Source organism: Homo sapiens, chromosome 15 (genome assembly GCF_000001405.40).
Source record: "Homo sapiens chromosome 15, GRCh38.p14 Primary Assembly".
Classification (NCBI taxonomy): Eukaryota; Metazoa; Chordata; class Mammalia; order Primates; family Hominidae; genus Homo; species Homo sapiens.
Window position 1 is genome coordinate 22906295 of NC_000015.10, and position 12706 is coordinate 22919000.

At 51.0% G+C, this 12706-nt stretch overlaps 1 protein-coding gene across 10 annotated transcripts in view; it reads right to left on the minus strand.

The window, feature by feature from the left end:
- The window catches only part of CYFIP1 (cytoplasmic FMR1 interacting protein 1), a 113847-nt gene that overhangs the window by 39243 nt on the left and 61898 nt on the right, over nt 1–12706 (minus strand). For 8 of the 10 annotated variants that reach the window (NM_001324119.2, NM_001324120.2, NM_001324125.3 and 5 more), the window contains 8 exons: nt 12398–12564; nt 11494–11641; nt 10183–10336; nt 8432–8588; nt 5885–5981; nt 4443–4519; nt 4226–4334; nt 2900–3019 (listed from right to left, as the gene is read on the minus strand). In NM_001324119.2, the coding sequence (NP_001311048.1) occupies nt 2900–3019; nt 4226–4334; nt 4443–4519; nt 5885–5981; nt 8432–8588; nt 10183–10336; nt 11494–11641; nt 12398–12564 (1029 nt within the window). Of the gene's footprint in view, nt 1–2899; nt 3020–4225; nt 4335–4442; nt 4520–5884; nt 5982–8431; nt 8589–10182; nt 11020–11493; nt 11642–12397; nt 12565–12706 lie in introns of those variants that run through there. The other 2 variants (NM_001324122.3, NM_001033028.3) reach the window with 2 other exon arrangements.

Sequence of the window (12706 nt, forward strand, 5' to 3'; positions counted from 1 at the left end):
ATGGGGTTTCACCACGTTGGCCAGCCTGGTCTTGAACTCCTGACCTCAGGCAATCCACCCACCTCAGCCTCCAAAAGTGCTGGGATTACAGGTGTGAGCCACCGTGCCCAGCCTATTTCTGGATTTCTAAAAATTCTCATTTATATTATTCTTTCACAGCAACTACTATTTTTTTTTTTTTTTTTTTTTGAGACGGAGTCTCGCTCTGTTGCCCAGGCTGGAGTGCAGTGGCACAATCTCGGCTCACTGCAACCTCCGCCTCCCGGGTTCACGCCATTCTCCTGCCTCAGCCTCCTGAGTAGCTGGGACTACAGGCGTCCGCCATCAAGCCTGGCTAATTTTTTGTATTTTTAGTAGAGACGGGGTTTCACCATGTTAGCCAGGATGGTCTCGATCTCCTGACCTCGTGATCCGCCCGCCTCGTCCTCCCAAAGTGCTGGGATTACAGCCGTGAGCCACAGCGCCCGGCCAGCAACTACTACTTTCTTCATTTCTTTTAGCTCACTGTGAAAGATGAAGTTACAGTTTCCATGGTCCGTGGGTGTCTGTCTGACGTGCCTCCACTGTCTGTAGGGACACTGCTGTGCACTTACATTTTCTTTTTTAGTGTAATACGTCTAAAGGGGATTGGACCATGATCTTTACCTGTGGCTCGACTGGAAGTGAAATAAGCTCTCTCATGCTTCTGAAGAGGAAGAGGGGTTGGTCAGGGCCAAGAGTAACAGCACTGGCTCAAGCCTTCTGAGACCTGCCTCTCATGCTCCCCTCCGCCATGATCCTAACCCTTACCAGCTTACATGCTATTCCCAGCAGCTTCTCCCATGGGCAGCTTTGTCTTAGGAGGGAATTTTGATTTATTCAATTCCAGAGTCAGCAGGGCCTACTGTTTTAGCTCCCTGAAACCTGTTCTCATCTCAGGCATCTTTGAAGAGCTCTGTCTAAATTATTCTCTGTAGGCCACCAGCCTGGGCTCCTTGACTCCAATGGTGCCAGGTGGCGGGCAGCACAACTCATGTGTACTCAAATTGCCTGACTCACAGGGGTGCCAGCGTTGGCACAGGGGTGCCAGTGTTGACTAAAGGACTGTGGTATCCCCAGGGCTGGCACAAACGATCGGCCTTCGGAAGTCTCATTGATCTGGATAAAGGGAAAAGCCCTAGGCCGACCAATACCAGCCTAACTTGAATCATCATAAAAGAAATTCATGGCTCCTCAACCAGTTCTCAGACCCAGAGCTCCTTGGGTGAAGGGGAGAAAGGACCTTGTGCATTTTGTTAGAAAATGCACACTGTAAACCCTCCCCCTGCTCCCACAGTGGAAACGGACGTGTGGCCATGCACCAATGACCACGCACTGGAGAAGGGAAGACAACCAGCCCATTCAGGCTTACTGCCTACTAGCTCTGATTAAATCCTAAAGATTCAAAGGCACCACAGGCCGAGGGTCAGAGTTGGGGGGTGGTCAGGTGATCCACAGAGCTGTGGTTCGGGGGCCCGCTCACTGAGGTCCCCCTGTGGCTCCGGCCCTGGCTCCAGCATGTGTAGTTGGGTGGCACACCTGAGTGGCAGGCCGGTGTCTTCTGTCCACGTTAAGGTCTTTCTGCCATCTTCTCTTCAGACAAGTCTTCCGTGACACCACTCTCTCTCTCATCTCCTCTAACACTCCAGTTACACGTTAGGTCTTTCCACTGTTTTCTACATTTCTTATGCTCTTTTCTGTCTCATTCATTTTTATTTTTCTCTGTTCCCCAGTTCAGATGTTTTTAACCTCTGTTTTCCTGTTCCTTAGTCTTGCCTCTTCCTGTGTTCAAATTGTGATAGAGACACAGGGAAAAATGGCAGACAGAAGGTAGGACTAACTGGCAGCTCCCATTCAGACGAACACAGCAGTGTGTGAAGACTCACACTGCAAATTTTTGCTTCAAGAAATACCACAGGAACATACCAGGAAAGCAGAGAATCCAAAGACCCTCTGAAGGAAGCGGCTTGCCTCTGTAGGCTCCGTGAGACAGCCGAAAAATGGGTGAGCGCCCAAAGAGGGTGAGCGGGGAACGTTGGCCCCGAACACACATCCTCACTGGGAAACCTGAAGGTCCAGATAACAGGAGAAGGATTAGACCTTACCTGGAGATGAGATGAATTCAGACAGCCAAGCGAAATGTAGGGGTAGAAGAATTAGCAGGAAGACCCTTGTGGGCTCTCTTGGTCCCTAAAGAAGATATTTCTTTTTTTTTTTTTTTTTTTTTTTTTTTTTGAGACAGAGTCTTGCTCTGTCGCCCAGGCTGGAGTGCAGTGGCGCGATCTGGGCTCACTGCAACCCTGCCTCCTGGATTCAAGCGATTCTCCTGCCTCAGCTTCCGGAGTAGCTCGGACTACAGGTGCCTGCCACCACGCCCGCCTAATTTTTGTAGTTTTAGTGGAGATGGGGTTTCACTATGTTGGCCAGGCTGGTCTCAAACTCCTGACCTCAAATGATCCACCCCCGCAGGCCTCCCAAAGTGCTGGGATTACAGGCATGAGCCACCGTGCCAGCCAAAGTTAAACATTTTTATCTCCTAGCTCGTTCATACTAAAATGTAAACACGTTATTAAGTGGTGTGCTACCTTTTGCCATAGTTGGCGATTTTTTCAAGATTGGGGTTATGTGTTTGTTAAGTCAATTTAGCATTGTGAACACTGAGTGTAGGCTTGGTATAGGCCACGCCCGATGAGTGCATCTCTTTTATTATCTATACAAGAGGCTTGGTATAGGCCACGCCCAGTGAGTGCATCTCTTTTATTATCTATACAAGAGGCTTGGTATAGGCCACGCCCGATGAGTGCATCTCTTTTATCATCTATACAAGAACTGGACCTACCCTTAGTCCAATTTATCAATAGGGCAAAGTGAAATTACTTACAACTATGGAGGTCAAATCTTCACTTTCAAATCGTCCAATCGCCAGTTCTAGGGACTTATACATGGCTGCTGAGACGCGCTGGGTGATCAGACGATTGAGGTCTATTGATCTGCCGAGGAGCTGGCGTACACAGGGAAGGATGGCAGGTAAAGAGTGGACATGAGCAGCTCGAAAACAACAAACGCCTCACCAGAGACCCTGGAGAAGCTGGTCTGTCAATAACGACACCCTTTACAACCACGTTCAAGACCCATCTCCCCACATACATGGCAGCCTGTGTGTGTCTTTTTACAGGTGTTATGACGATAAATAAAATTACTCCATCTCTATTTTGGCCTACTAGGAACATATCCATACTTCAGTGTTGTTCTAACTACATAAAAATATGACAAAGCCCTGGTGAAAATGTCCAAAAATGTGCATGATGATTATTCGTGTATAGAGAGTAGAATTAAATGCAATTTTTTTTAGTTTTCCATATTTTACTAACTAGTTTTGTGTGTGTAATGTAACATCACTTTTAATTTTTAATTTTTTTTCTTTTTTTAATGTTTGTGGGTACGCAGTAAGTGTACATATTTATGGGGTACATGAGATGTTTTAATACAGGCATGCAATGTGAATCTTTTTTTAAAAGCTGTAAAAAATAAGCACTGTATATCTTTAAATTCTTCCTGCTGGCCAGGAGAAAGTTTTCTCTGATACTCTGAGCTGATGAGTGCTTCTCACCTTCATTCTTTTTAAGCTCTGGCTTTTGGGCTCCTGGAGAAGGGCTGACCCCTCCGGGCTATGCCTGCCCCCAGGAGCCGCAGGGCAGATACAGAATGCTGCAGGTGTTCCCTGTGTGTGAGGTGACCCAATAGAAACGGTGTGTCTTTCAATGCCTAACAATTTATAAGGACGTTCACAGTCACAAGGCATGCTGATATCTAAACCTAGCTAGCTATAAGAAATCTCAATCATTTTTTTTTTCTTTTTTTTGAGACGGAGTCTTGCTCACTCTGTCACCCAGGCTGGAGTGCAGTGGTGCAATCTCAGCTCACTGCAAGCTCCACTTCCCAGGTTCAGGCGATTCTCTTGCCTCAGCATCCCAGAGCGGCTGGGACTACAGGAACCCACCAGCACGCCCAGCTAATTTTTGTATTTTTAGTAGAGATGGGGTTTTGCTATGTTGGCCAGGCTGGTCTTGAACTCCTAACCTCAGGTGATCCGCCCACCTTGGCCTCCCAGTGTTGGGATTACAGGCGTGAGCCACCGCACCCAGCCGAAAACCCAGTCTTTTCAATGCACACTCTACGTCCCCACCACAGCCCGGCCCCAGCTCACCTGCACATGCCTCTGCTTCAGCAGCGTCTCGTAGCGGTTAGACGGCGGGAGGTGGATCGTGGCTCCCTGATTCTTGCATTCTGATCGTAACCGTTTATCAAGAAGCAAACTAGTGTAGAAGGAAGACAGAAAGTTTTTCATACGCCATAAATTGTAATGGGAATGTCAGATCAAATTATGAAACGTTTTGTATCAAAATCACACACCAGATACTCACCTTCCTGCCATAACCTTATAATAGGCAAATATCTGGTCTGCTAGCTTGTAAACAAATTGGTCAAAACATAGATTCACCTGAAGAAAAAGAAAGCACACGTTACAGTTTGATTCCCTAAAGCAAGATCAAATAACAAGGTGAAAAACAAAATGTTTCGTTAAGGCAACTAACTGAGGCTCTTTTATTTTTTTGAGACGGAGTCTTGCTCTGTTGCCCAGGCTGGAGCGCAGTAGTGCGATCTTGGCTCACTGCAATCTCTGCCTCAAGTGATTCTCCTGCCTCAGCCTCCTGAGTAGCTGGGATTATAGGTGCCCACCACCATTAGCCTGGTGTGGTGGCACGTGCCCGTGGTCCTGGCTACTCGGGAGGCTAAGCACAAGAATCGCTTGAACTCACACCACTGCACTCCAGCCTCGGCGACAGAGCAAGACTCCACCTCAAAAAAGAAAAATAAACTAAAGAAACTAGCAATAATCTTACTGTCCAACAACAGCACACTAAATAAACTGCAGTGTGGCCAGGAGTGACTACCACACTGCCACAGAAAACTAGGCTAGAACCAATCTTACTGAGGGAGAAAAATATTCCTATTCTCTGAAATGCAAGAGAGAATCAACAAGGCTCTCTTCACTGTGTGCAGTGACCACGAGGAGCTACTGTGCATTGCAGGTGGGTTCCTGCCCTGGGGCAGCTCCGCCTACTGTGCACTCCAGGAGGCACCACCGAGGGCCTTCCCTGGAGCAAAGCGGCTGTTCTGGGTGTGAGATTGGTCAGGAGGTACCCTCAAAAGACCCTTACTTGCAGATGGGATTCGCACTATCTCCTGGAACTGTGAGGAGAATACCTGTGCTTCGTGGCAAGTGGGACCCAGGACCCATCTGCCCAGCAGACAGGGCCAAGAAGGGCGTCTCTGCCCTCCTCCCATCCTGCAGGGCCGGGGACCTGTGACATCTCCCTGAAGCACCATTTTCAGGTGGTCTTTGTGAGAAGGCAGAGGAGATGATGTGTAGAATAAGGTTCATCTCCTTAAATGTGCATACACTAACCTGAGAATTCCACCTGTGGGAATTTGTCCTATAGAAGTCATGCGATGCAAATAAAAAACATGCCAGGGAGTGCAGCAGAGTGCTATTTATAAAATCCAAAACCAAAAAAATAGAGAAATAAAACAGGAGTTGCTTCAGTTGAACATCAAAGATCATGCTCATAACCAAAAATAGATGAGGACACAGACACCGCAGTGACACACGGTCAAGTGAAAAAGCGCATCCTGCACTCATCGTGGAAGCATATCCACAGAGGAAGGGCTTGCTCCCACATGCTTGCTTCGTGGTTTATACTGTCTTATATTTTAAAGAAAGTTGAATACTTGGGAGAAAACAAAAAGAGAAAGGAGATTTAATTGAAGGAAATGAACAGAAATGGAGCTGCAGGGGCCTCACCTCGGCCTCAATTTCGTCGTACAGGAACTGCTTGTTGAACCTGGTGAGCGCGTAGTGGGCGCTGTCATTGTACAGGTCCAGGGAGTAGAGCACGTACCTGCAGAGGACAGCAGCAGTGTGACCAGCAGCCTCTGCCACTCACTCGCAGCTCCGACAGCCTCGCCCCACCTCAGAAACTCAACTCCATTTTCCACCTCTCACGTAAGGAAAAACAACTTTCACTTCAAACACCAGTCCTCCTGTGAAAGCACGTGGTGGCTGCGCCTGAGGCGGCCGCCACACCCACCAGGCTGCGAGGATGCTTGGGGACAGCAGACGCTCACTGAAGGCCACACACGGACAAGGGCCTCCACCTGCCTGCATCTTCTCACTTAGCAGACTTTAAAATATTTCACTACAAGTACATAGGATTTTTAACAAAAGAAAATTATTTTCTTATTTCCAGAATGAACTCCAAGGACCAGGCTTGGTGGTTCATGCCTGTAATCCCAGCACTTTGTGGGGCTGAGGTGGGCAGATCACTTGATTGAGGTGAGGAGTTCAAGACCAGCCTGGGCAATACGGCAATACTGTCTCTAACAAAACTACAAAAAACTATCTGGGCGTGGTGGCGCACGCCTGAGTCCCAGCTACTTGGGAGGCTGAGGTAGAAGGATCACTTGAGCCTGAGAGGTTGAGGCTGCAGTGAGCTGAGATCGTGCCACTACACTCTAGCCTGTGTGACAGAGTGAGACCCTGTCCAAAAAAAATGATAGAGAATGAACTCCAGCACTTTAGGTGGATGAGGCAGGAAGATAACATGAGGCCAGGAGTTTGAGACCAGGTTGGACAACATAGCAAGACCCCGTCTCCATGAAACACAAAACAATTAGCCAGGTGTGGTGGCGCATGCCTGTAGTCCCAGCTACTCAGGAGGCTGAGGCAGGAGGATCACCTGAGCCTGGGAGGTTGAAGCTGCAGTGAGCTGTCTTTGCACCACTGCACTCCAGCCTGGGCAATAGAGCAAGACCTTGTCTCTGTTGGGGGGAAAAAAAAAAAGAATGAACTGACTGGAAAAGAACAAAGGTGGACTGGGCGCGGTGACTCATGCCTGTAATCCCAGCACTTTGGGAGGCCGAGGTGGGCGGATCACTTGAGGTCAGGAGTTCGAGACCAGCCTGGCTAACATGATGAAACTCATCTCTACTAAAAATACAAAAATTAGCCGGGCGTGGTGGTGGGTGCCTGTAGTCCCAGCTACTTGGGATGCTGAGGCCGGAGAATTGCTTGAACCCGGGAGGCATAGGTTGCAATGAGCTGAGATTGTGCCACTGCACTCCAGCCTGGGTAACAGAGCAAGGCTCTGTCTCAAAAAAAAAAAAAAAAAAAAAAAAGAAAGAAAGAAAAAAAAGAAAAAATTACACCAACGGAAGTACATAGACAGCATTAAAAAAAAAAAAAAAAAAAAAAGAACAAAGGTGAAGGTCCTGGATCCCACAGCTCACCAGGAGCATGTCCAGCATGGCCCATGGTTGAAGGCCCGTCTCCCACTACCTCATATCTGGACAAAGGCCATGGCCAGGGGCAAGGAGGCCCATGCCTGAAGGAGGCCTCCAAGCTGGTTCCAGCTCCTCACGCCACCCCAATGCTGTGCAACGAGCCATCAGAGGCTCTGCCCACACAAATGGCATGGCCATGCCACAGCCACAGAGAGTGGAAGGTGACTGCCCTTACCATCTCCTGGGCACCACAAGGGATGTGTGAGGACTGACGCACAAGGAACTCAGGGGCTTCCCACTCACGGTGCTCAGAAGACAGACCGGCTGGGCGGCTCCCCAGTCGCTCACCATGAGACACACCCTTTTCCAAACACTTTCCCTTCCATGAACTTTATATTTTGAAAGACTGCCCTTCCATCTAGGTCCACAGTCCTGATCCCCAGAACAAAGCTGTTCAATCAATACTTCCTTTCCCCACTTCATCTGGGTCAGAGGCTGTGTCACACAAAAGGCCAGGCCACAGGGCTCCCGCAAGGCAGCTCACGGGCATGGCCACCTCACAGGGCCTGCACTACGAAGGCCTGGGGAAGGTCCAGGTTCATCCATCTCCCTGGTCCAGGCTGAGTCCCCGGGTCCCAGCCAGCACCCATGCAAAGTAGGAACGTGACTGGTTCTAGTGCCTGAGCTCTCAATTCCAGTCTGACACCAAGAAACTGGTTAGTTACTTGTATTAATCTCTAAAGCTTTACCCCAGGAAACATGATTTCTCTTTTTTTTTTTTTTATTTGGAGACAGGGTCTTGCTACGTGGCCAGGCTGGAATGCAGTGGTGCAATCCATAGCTCAATGCAGCCACAAATTTCTGTGGTAAAGCAATCCTCCCGCATCAGCCACCACACCAGGCTAAGTTTTCTCATTTTTGTAGAGACTGGGGTCTTGCTATTTTGCCCAGGCCCAGAAACTTGATTTCAAATACAATACTAAAAACAGTCCCGGCCTCTCCGCCACCTCCTCTGAGGACCCCCGGTCACCACACACAAAGGCTGGAGACAGGCCCGCAGGACACGCACTCCATCATCGATGCCTCCTTGGTCTCCAGGATGTGGTCCGTCAGGATCCAGGGCATCGACATCTCAATGGGGAACTGGATCCTCCTGCCCATGGTCAGCTCCAGGAAGAACTCTCGGAACCACAGCTGCGAAAGGTCACAGCACTGCTGCAGCGTTTCTGGGAGGGTTCAAACAACTCCATGTTATCTCCCGCAAGCAAAAAAAAACCTTTAGCAGAGATGACACAAGGGCTGTGTGCTGGGTGCCTGCTCCTCCTCGCTCAGCCCCAAGCCATGCAGCATGGACATGAGTGGGGAGGGGTCACCGGGGCCTTGCACTAGGGACAGGACCAGCTGGGCATAGCTGCAGGTAAAGCCACCTCATCAACCCTGTGAGCCCTTCAGTGGGATCCAGGGGGAAAGTGTCTTTTTTTTTTTTTTGAGACAGAGTCTATCTCACTCTGTCACCCAGGCTGGAGGTGAGTGGCGCGATCATAGCTTACTGCAGCCTTCAACTCCTGGGCTCAAGCGATCCTCCTGCCTCAGCCTCCCAAGTAGCTGAGAACACAGGCACGTGCCACCAACTGATTTTGTATTTTTTATAGAGATGGGGGTCTCGCCATGTTGCCCAGGCTGGTCTCAAACTCCCGAATTCAAGTGATTCTCCTGCCTTGGCTTCCCAAAGTGTTAGGATTAACAGGTATGAGCCACTGTGTCTTACCTAAAAATGTTCTTCTCAAAAGGAGACATAAAAACAGGACTTCTGGCTGGGCACAGTGGCTCACGCCTGTAATCCTAGCACTTTGGGAGGCCGAGGCGGGTGGATCACAAGGTCAGGAGTTTGAGACCAGCCTGGCCAACATGGTAAAACCCCATCTCTACTAAAAATACAAAAATTAGCCAGGCGCAGTGGTGAGCACCTATAATCCCAGCTACTTGGGAGGCTGAGGGAGGAGAATCTCTTGAACCTGGGAGGCGGAGCTTGCAGTGAGCTGAGATCGCCCCACTGTACTCTAGCCTGGGTGACAGAGCAAGACTTCGTCTCAACAAAAAACAAAACAAAAAAACAGGACTTCTTCACTTTCACTTAGGATAAAAACCAATGTCCAGGCTGCAGCATTAGAGGCACACTCAGGGAGGTCTGTCTAACGCAAAAATGAGACAGATTAAAAGAGCCCACACTCGAACTCCATCCTTTCATGGAGTTAACAGCAAAAGTGGTACTATTTCCTCCAATACCTCGCAGCACCCCAGCCAAGACAGCAGGGATCCTGTTCTGAGCAAGAGGTGGACAACGGAGGACTTGATGAGAACACGGGACAGACACACGGAGGGCAGAGAGCGCACCCACCGGTGGCCGGTCAAGGTGGCCGGGTGTCACCCAGGATGGGCTTGCCTGGCACAGGGCACCCGCCACCTTCCCCCCACGTCATGGTCTGCAAGGGCCATTTCTAGTATTTATCAATGCCTGTGTCTCAACTCAGGCACCAGATTACATTCGCCTGTTTCCAACCCCGCATGGGTTGAAAAGATTTTCTGTTCATGTCTCAGGGCCAGCCCGGGCTCCTCAGTTTATACCCTTGTAGGGACCACGCCCTGTGGAGCGAGCTCAGGCCAGGGACGTACAGCCACCGCCACAGAGGGCAGGACGAGTCACCGTCTGGGTGCACCAAGGGACGGGGTAGGGGGTGGTCAGGCGGGCGGAAGCATTCTAGACGGTGTTAGTGGTGTTAGGACATGCCAGGCCGGATGCTGCTCAGCAGTATCTCTTACCACTGAAATTTATCAAGTGAGTGTAGAAGAATGACTCTCGATGAAATTTTTCTATGTCCAATATGGTGGGCCCCTCAAGGCTACTTCTCAAGGTTTTCTTGGAACCACTTTTGTCTGCAATGAGGGACTCTAGCATGGTTCTCACCATGTAAAGCTGGATTATCCAAGGAAACATTTGTGGGGGAGAAAATATACATGGTACATTAGTTATGCCAAACTCAAAAAGCCCATGAGAGAAGGACTGCTCCGCTACGCCCTGGTCGGGAGGGCCCCGCACCAGCTCCCCGAGGGGTCCGGGTGCCTGTCTACGCGGCCACGTTGCTGCTGCTTTGGGGAAAGAACAACTTGTAGCGGAGCAGTTCGCCTCCGTGCCATAAACGTCAAGAGAAACAAATGATGTCTTACCACCAAAGGTTAAAAGGGGTAGGTAGGTGCACGACTGCCTCAGAAACGTGTTAACCGCATGCAAGAGCCTCTCCATGCCCAGAGACTTGAGCTGCCTGAGCAGCTCGGCAGAGCCCAAGGACTCGGCCATGGTGCGCACCAGGTAGAGCTAGACACGGACAGACAGGAGGGAGAGGCAGGAGAGAGACGTTAGTCACTCGACACACACACCCCAGGCAGGGACACGGGACGCACGCAGAGGGAGGCAGGGAGGGTGGCTGGCACCACGCACAGGCCGAGGGCCGTCCCCCTGACCCTCCTGCAGAGCCAGCAGCGTGCATTGCTGGTGACTTTCCAGAAGAGTGGCAGAAGAGATTAAAAGCCTCCGGCAGAGATGAGGGAGAAGACCAGCCCCAGGACGGAGGACAGACGCAGCGGTGTGGATTAAACCGGGTGTGAAAGTCGTGAGAAGCACCTCGGGGAGGCCTGAACACACCAGGAGAGAGGACAGTGGGCAGCTTAGGACCATGACACACGCAAGCAGCACCTCACAGTTTCCCACGCCCCATCTACAGTCATTTGCAGACCCAACGTAAAAATTATACAGACATTCAAACACCCATCAAGAAACACAGAATGAATACAGACACGTGGACTTGTGCCCACATTTTTGGGATGGGAGTTGAAATGGAGTCAGACTCCTTTTTAGTGCACATGACACATCTGACAATCAAGGCACGTCTCCTCACGCTCCCAACTCACTTGGGTGGGAAACAGAGGAGCAGCAGAAACCACAGGCGCCACTTTCTCTGCCTGAGCAGGCAGCGAGGACCTCATTTAACCCGGGCCTCACCAGCCCCACCCGCTCACAGCTCAGGGTGGGTCCCCCCAGGGAGAGGGTGCAGGCGGGGCTCAAGGGACGAGAACCTGAGTGCTGGAGGGTCCCACGGCGCGGCGTGGTACTTTTATGTCGAAGCCGCTCTTGGGGTCCTTCTCGCCCCGCAAGGCTGGGTCATTGAAGGGCTCATGCCCCGTCTCCCAGTCACACACGGTCTTCCTGATGGCCTGCAGGACACTGAACACCCCACCAAGTGATCAGCAAGGCCCAGAGGCCGAGACCTCCAGCCTCACAATCACACCATCTCCTCACCCAACTACAAGGCTCTCAGAACAGCCCCCATGAAAATACAAATTACTCTGGGGGCCATGGAGGGATGTGGTAATGGACCAGCTCAACAGGAAAGTTAAAAAGGAGTCTGCCTTCTGGAGAGTATTACTACCCCCAGAAGACTGCCCTGAGCTCCAGTTCGCATCTGTTAGCCCAGGGCAGCAGTGAGGTGGCTCTGAGTCATGCTGTGGGCAGGGAGAGGGCAGAACACAGCCTCCGCACGGAGCAGAGCTGGGCCCCGCCTGCCCGCAGCTGGCTGTCCCCAGTAACCAACAGGAATGTGAAGTCACCCACATGACCAGAGCCTGGCCATGTCTCTCGACTGGTTTGGAACACAGCCTCATCACCAACAGGGCTCCACCGTGCAGAGACCCCCATAAGGCACCATGCATGAACCACAGGCACCGCGAGCCTGGGATAAATGCACCTTGTCCCGGGGTCCTCAGACTCCCTAGACACTCGGCAGCTGACTTACTGTCCATTGTTTGGGTTAATAATTGGACCCATGCATTACTTTTAGAGGTAATTCACCAAGAGGGCATCTGAAGGTTGAAGATAAATATATTGAAATCATTTTTGAGAATTTAACGCTCCTGTTGTTTGAATCCAAGTTCATCCGAGGACGTGTGGGCACAGCGGGCACAGGGCGTGGGGAAGGCTGACCTCTGGATGACGTTCTTCTTCTTCTTGATGGCCTGCCGCAGCGGCTCCCTAAGGGTCACCTGGGAGAAGTCCTGCAGTGCGGCATAGACGGTGTGCCGGATGGCGTGGTTGAACACGCTCTCCATCCTGCCCATCAGCACCTGCAGGCCTTTGATCATGGCGATCACCTGCGGGGGACACAGCAACAGGGACGGCCCTTCTTAGGGATGGCACCAAGCCTCCTCTGCCTGGCACATGCCGGGGGCTGCTCCTCCTCGCCCACAGCACCTTACGCCCTCCCGCGTTCGTGCCCTGCAGCTGCCCTGCCCC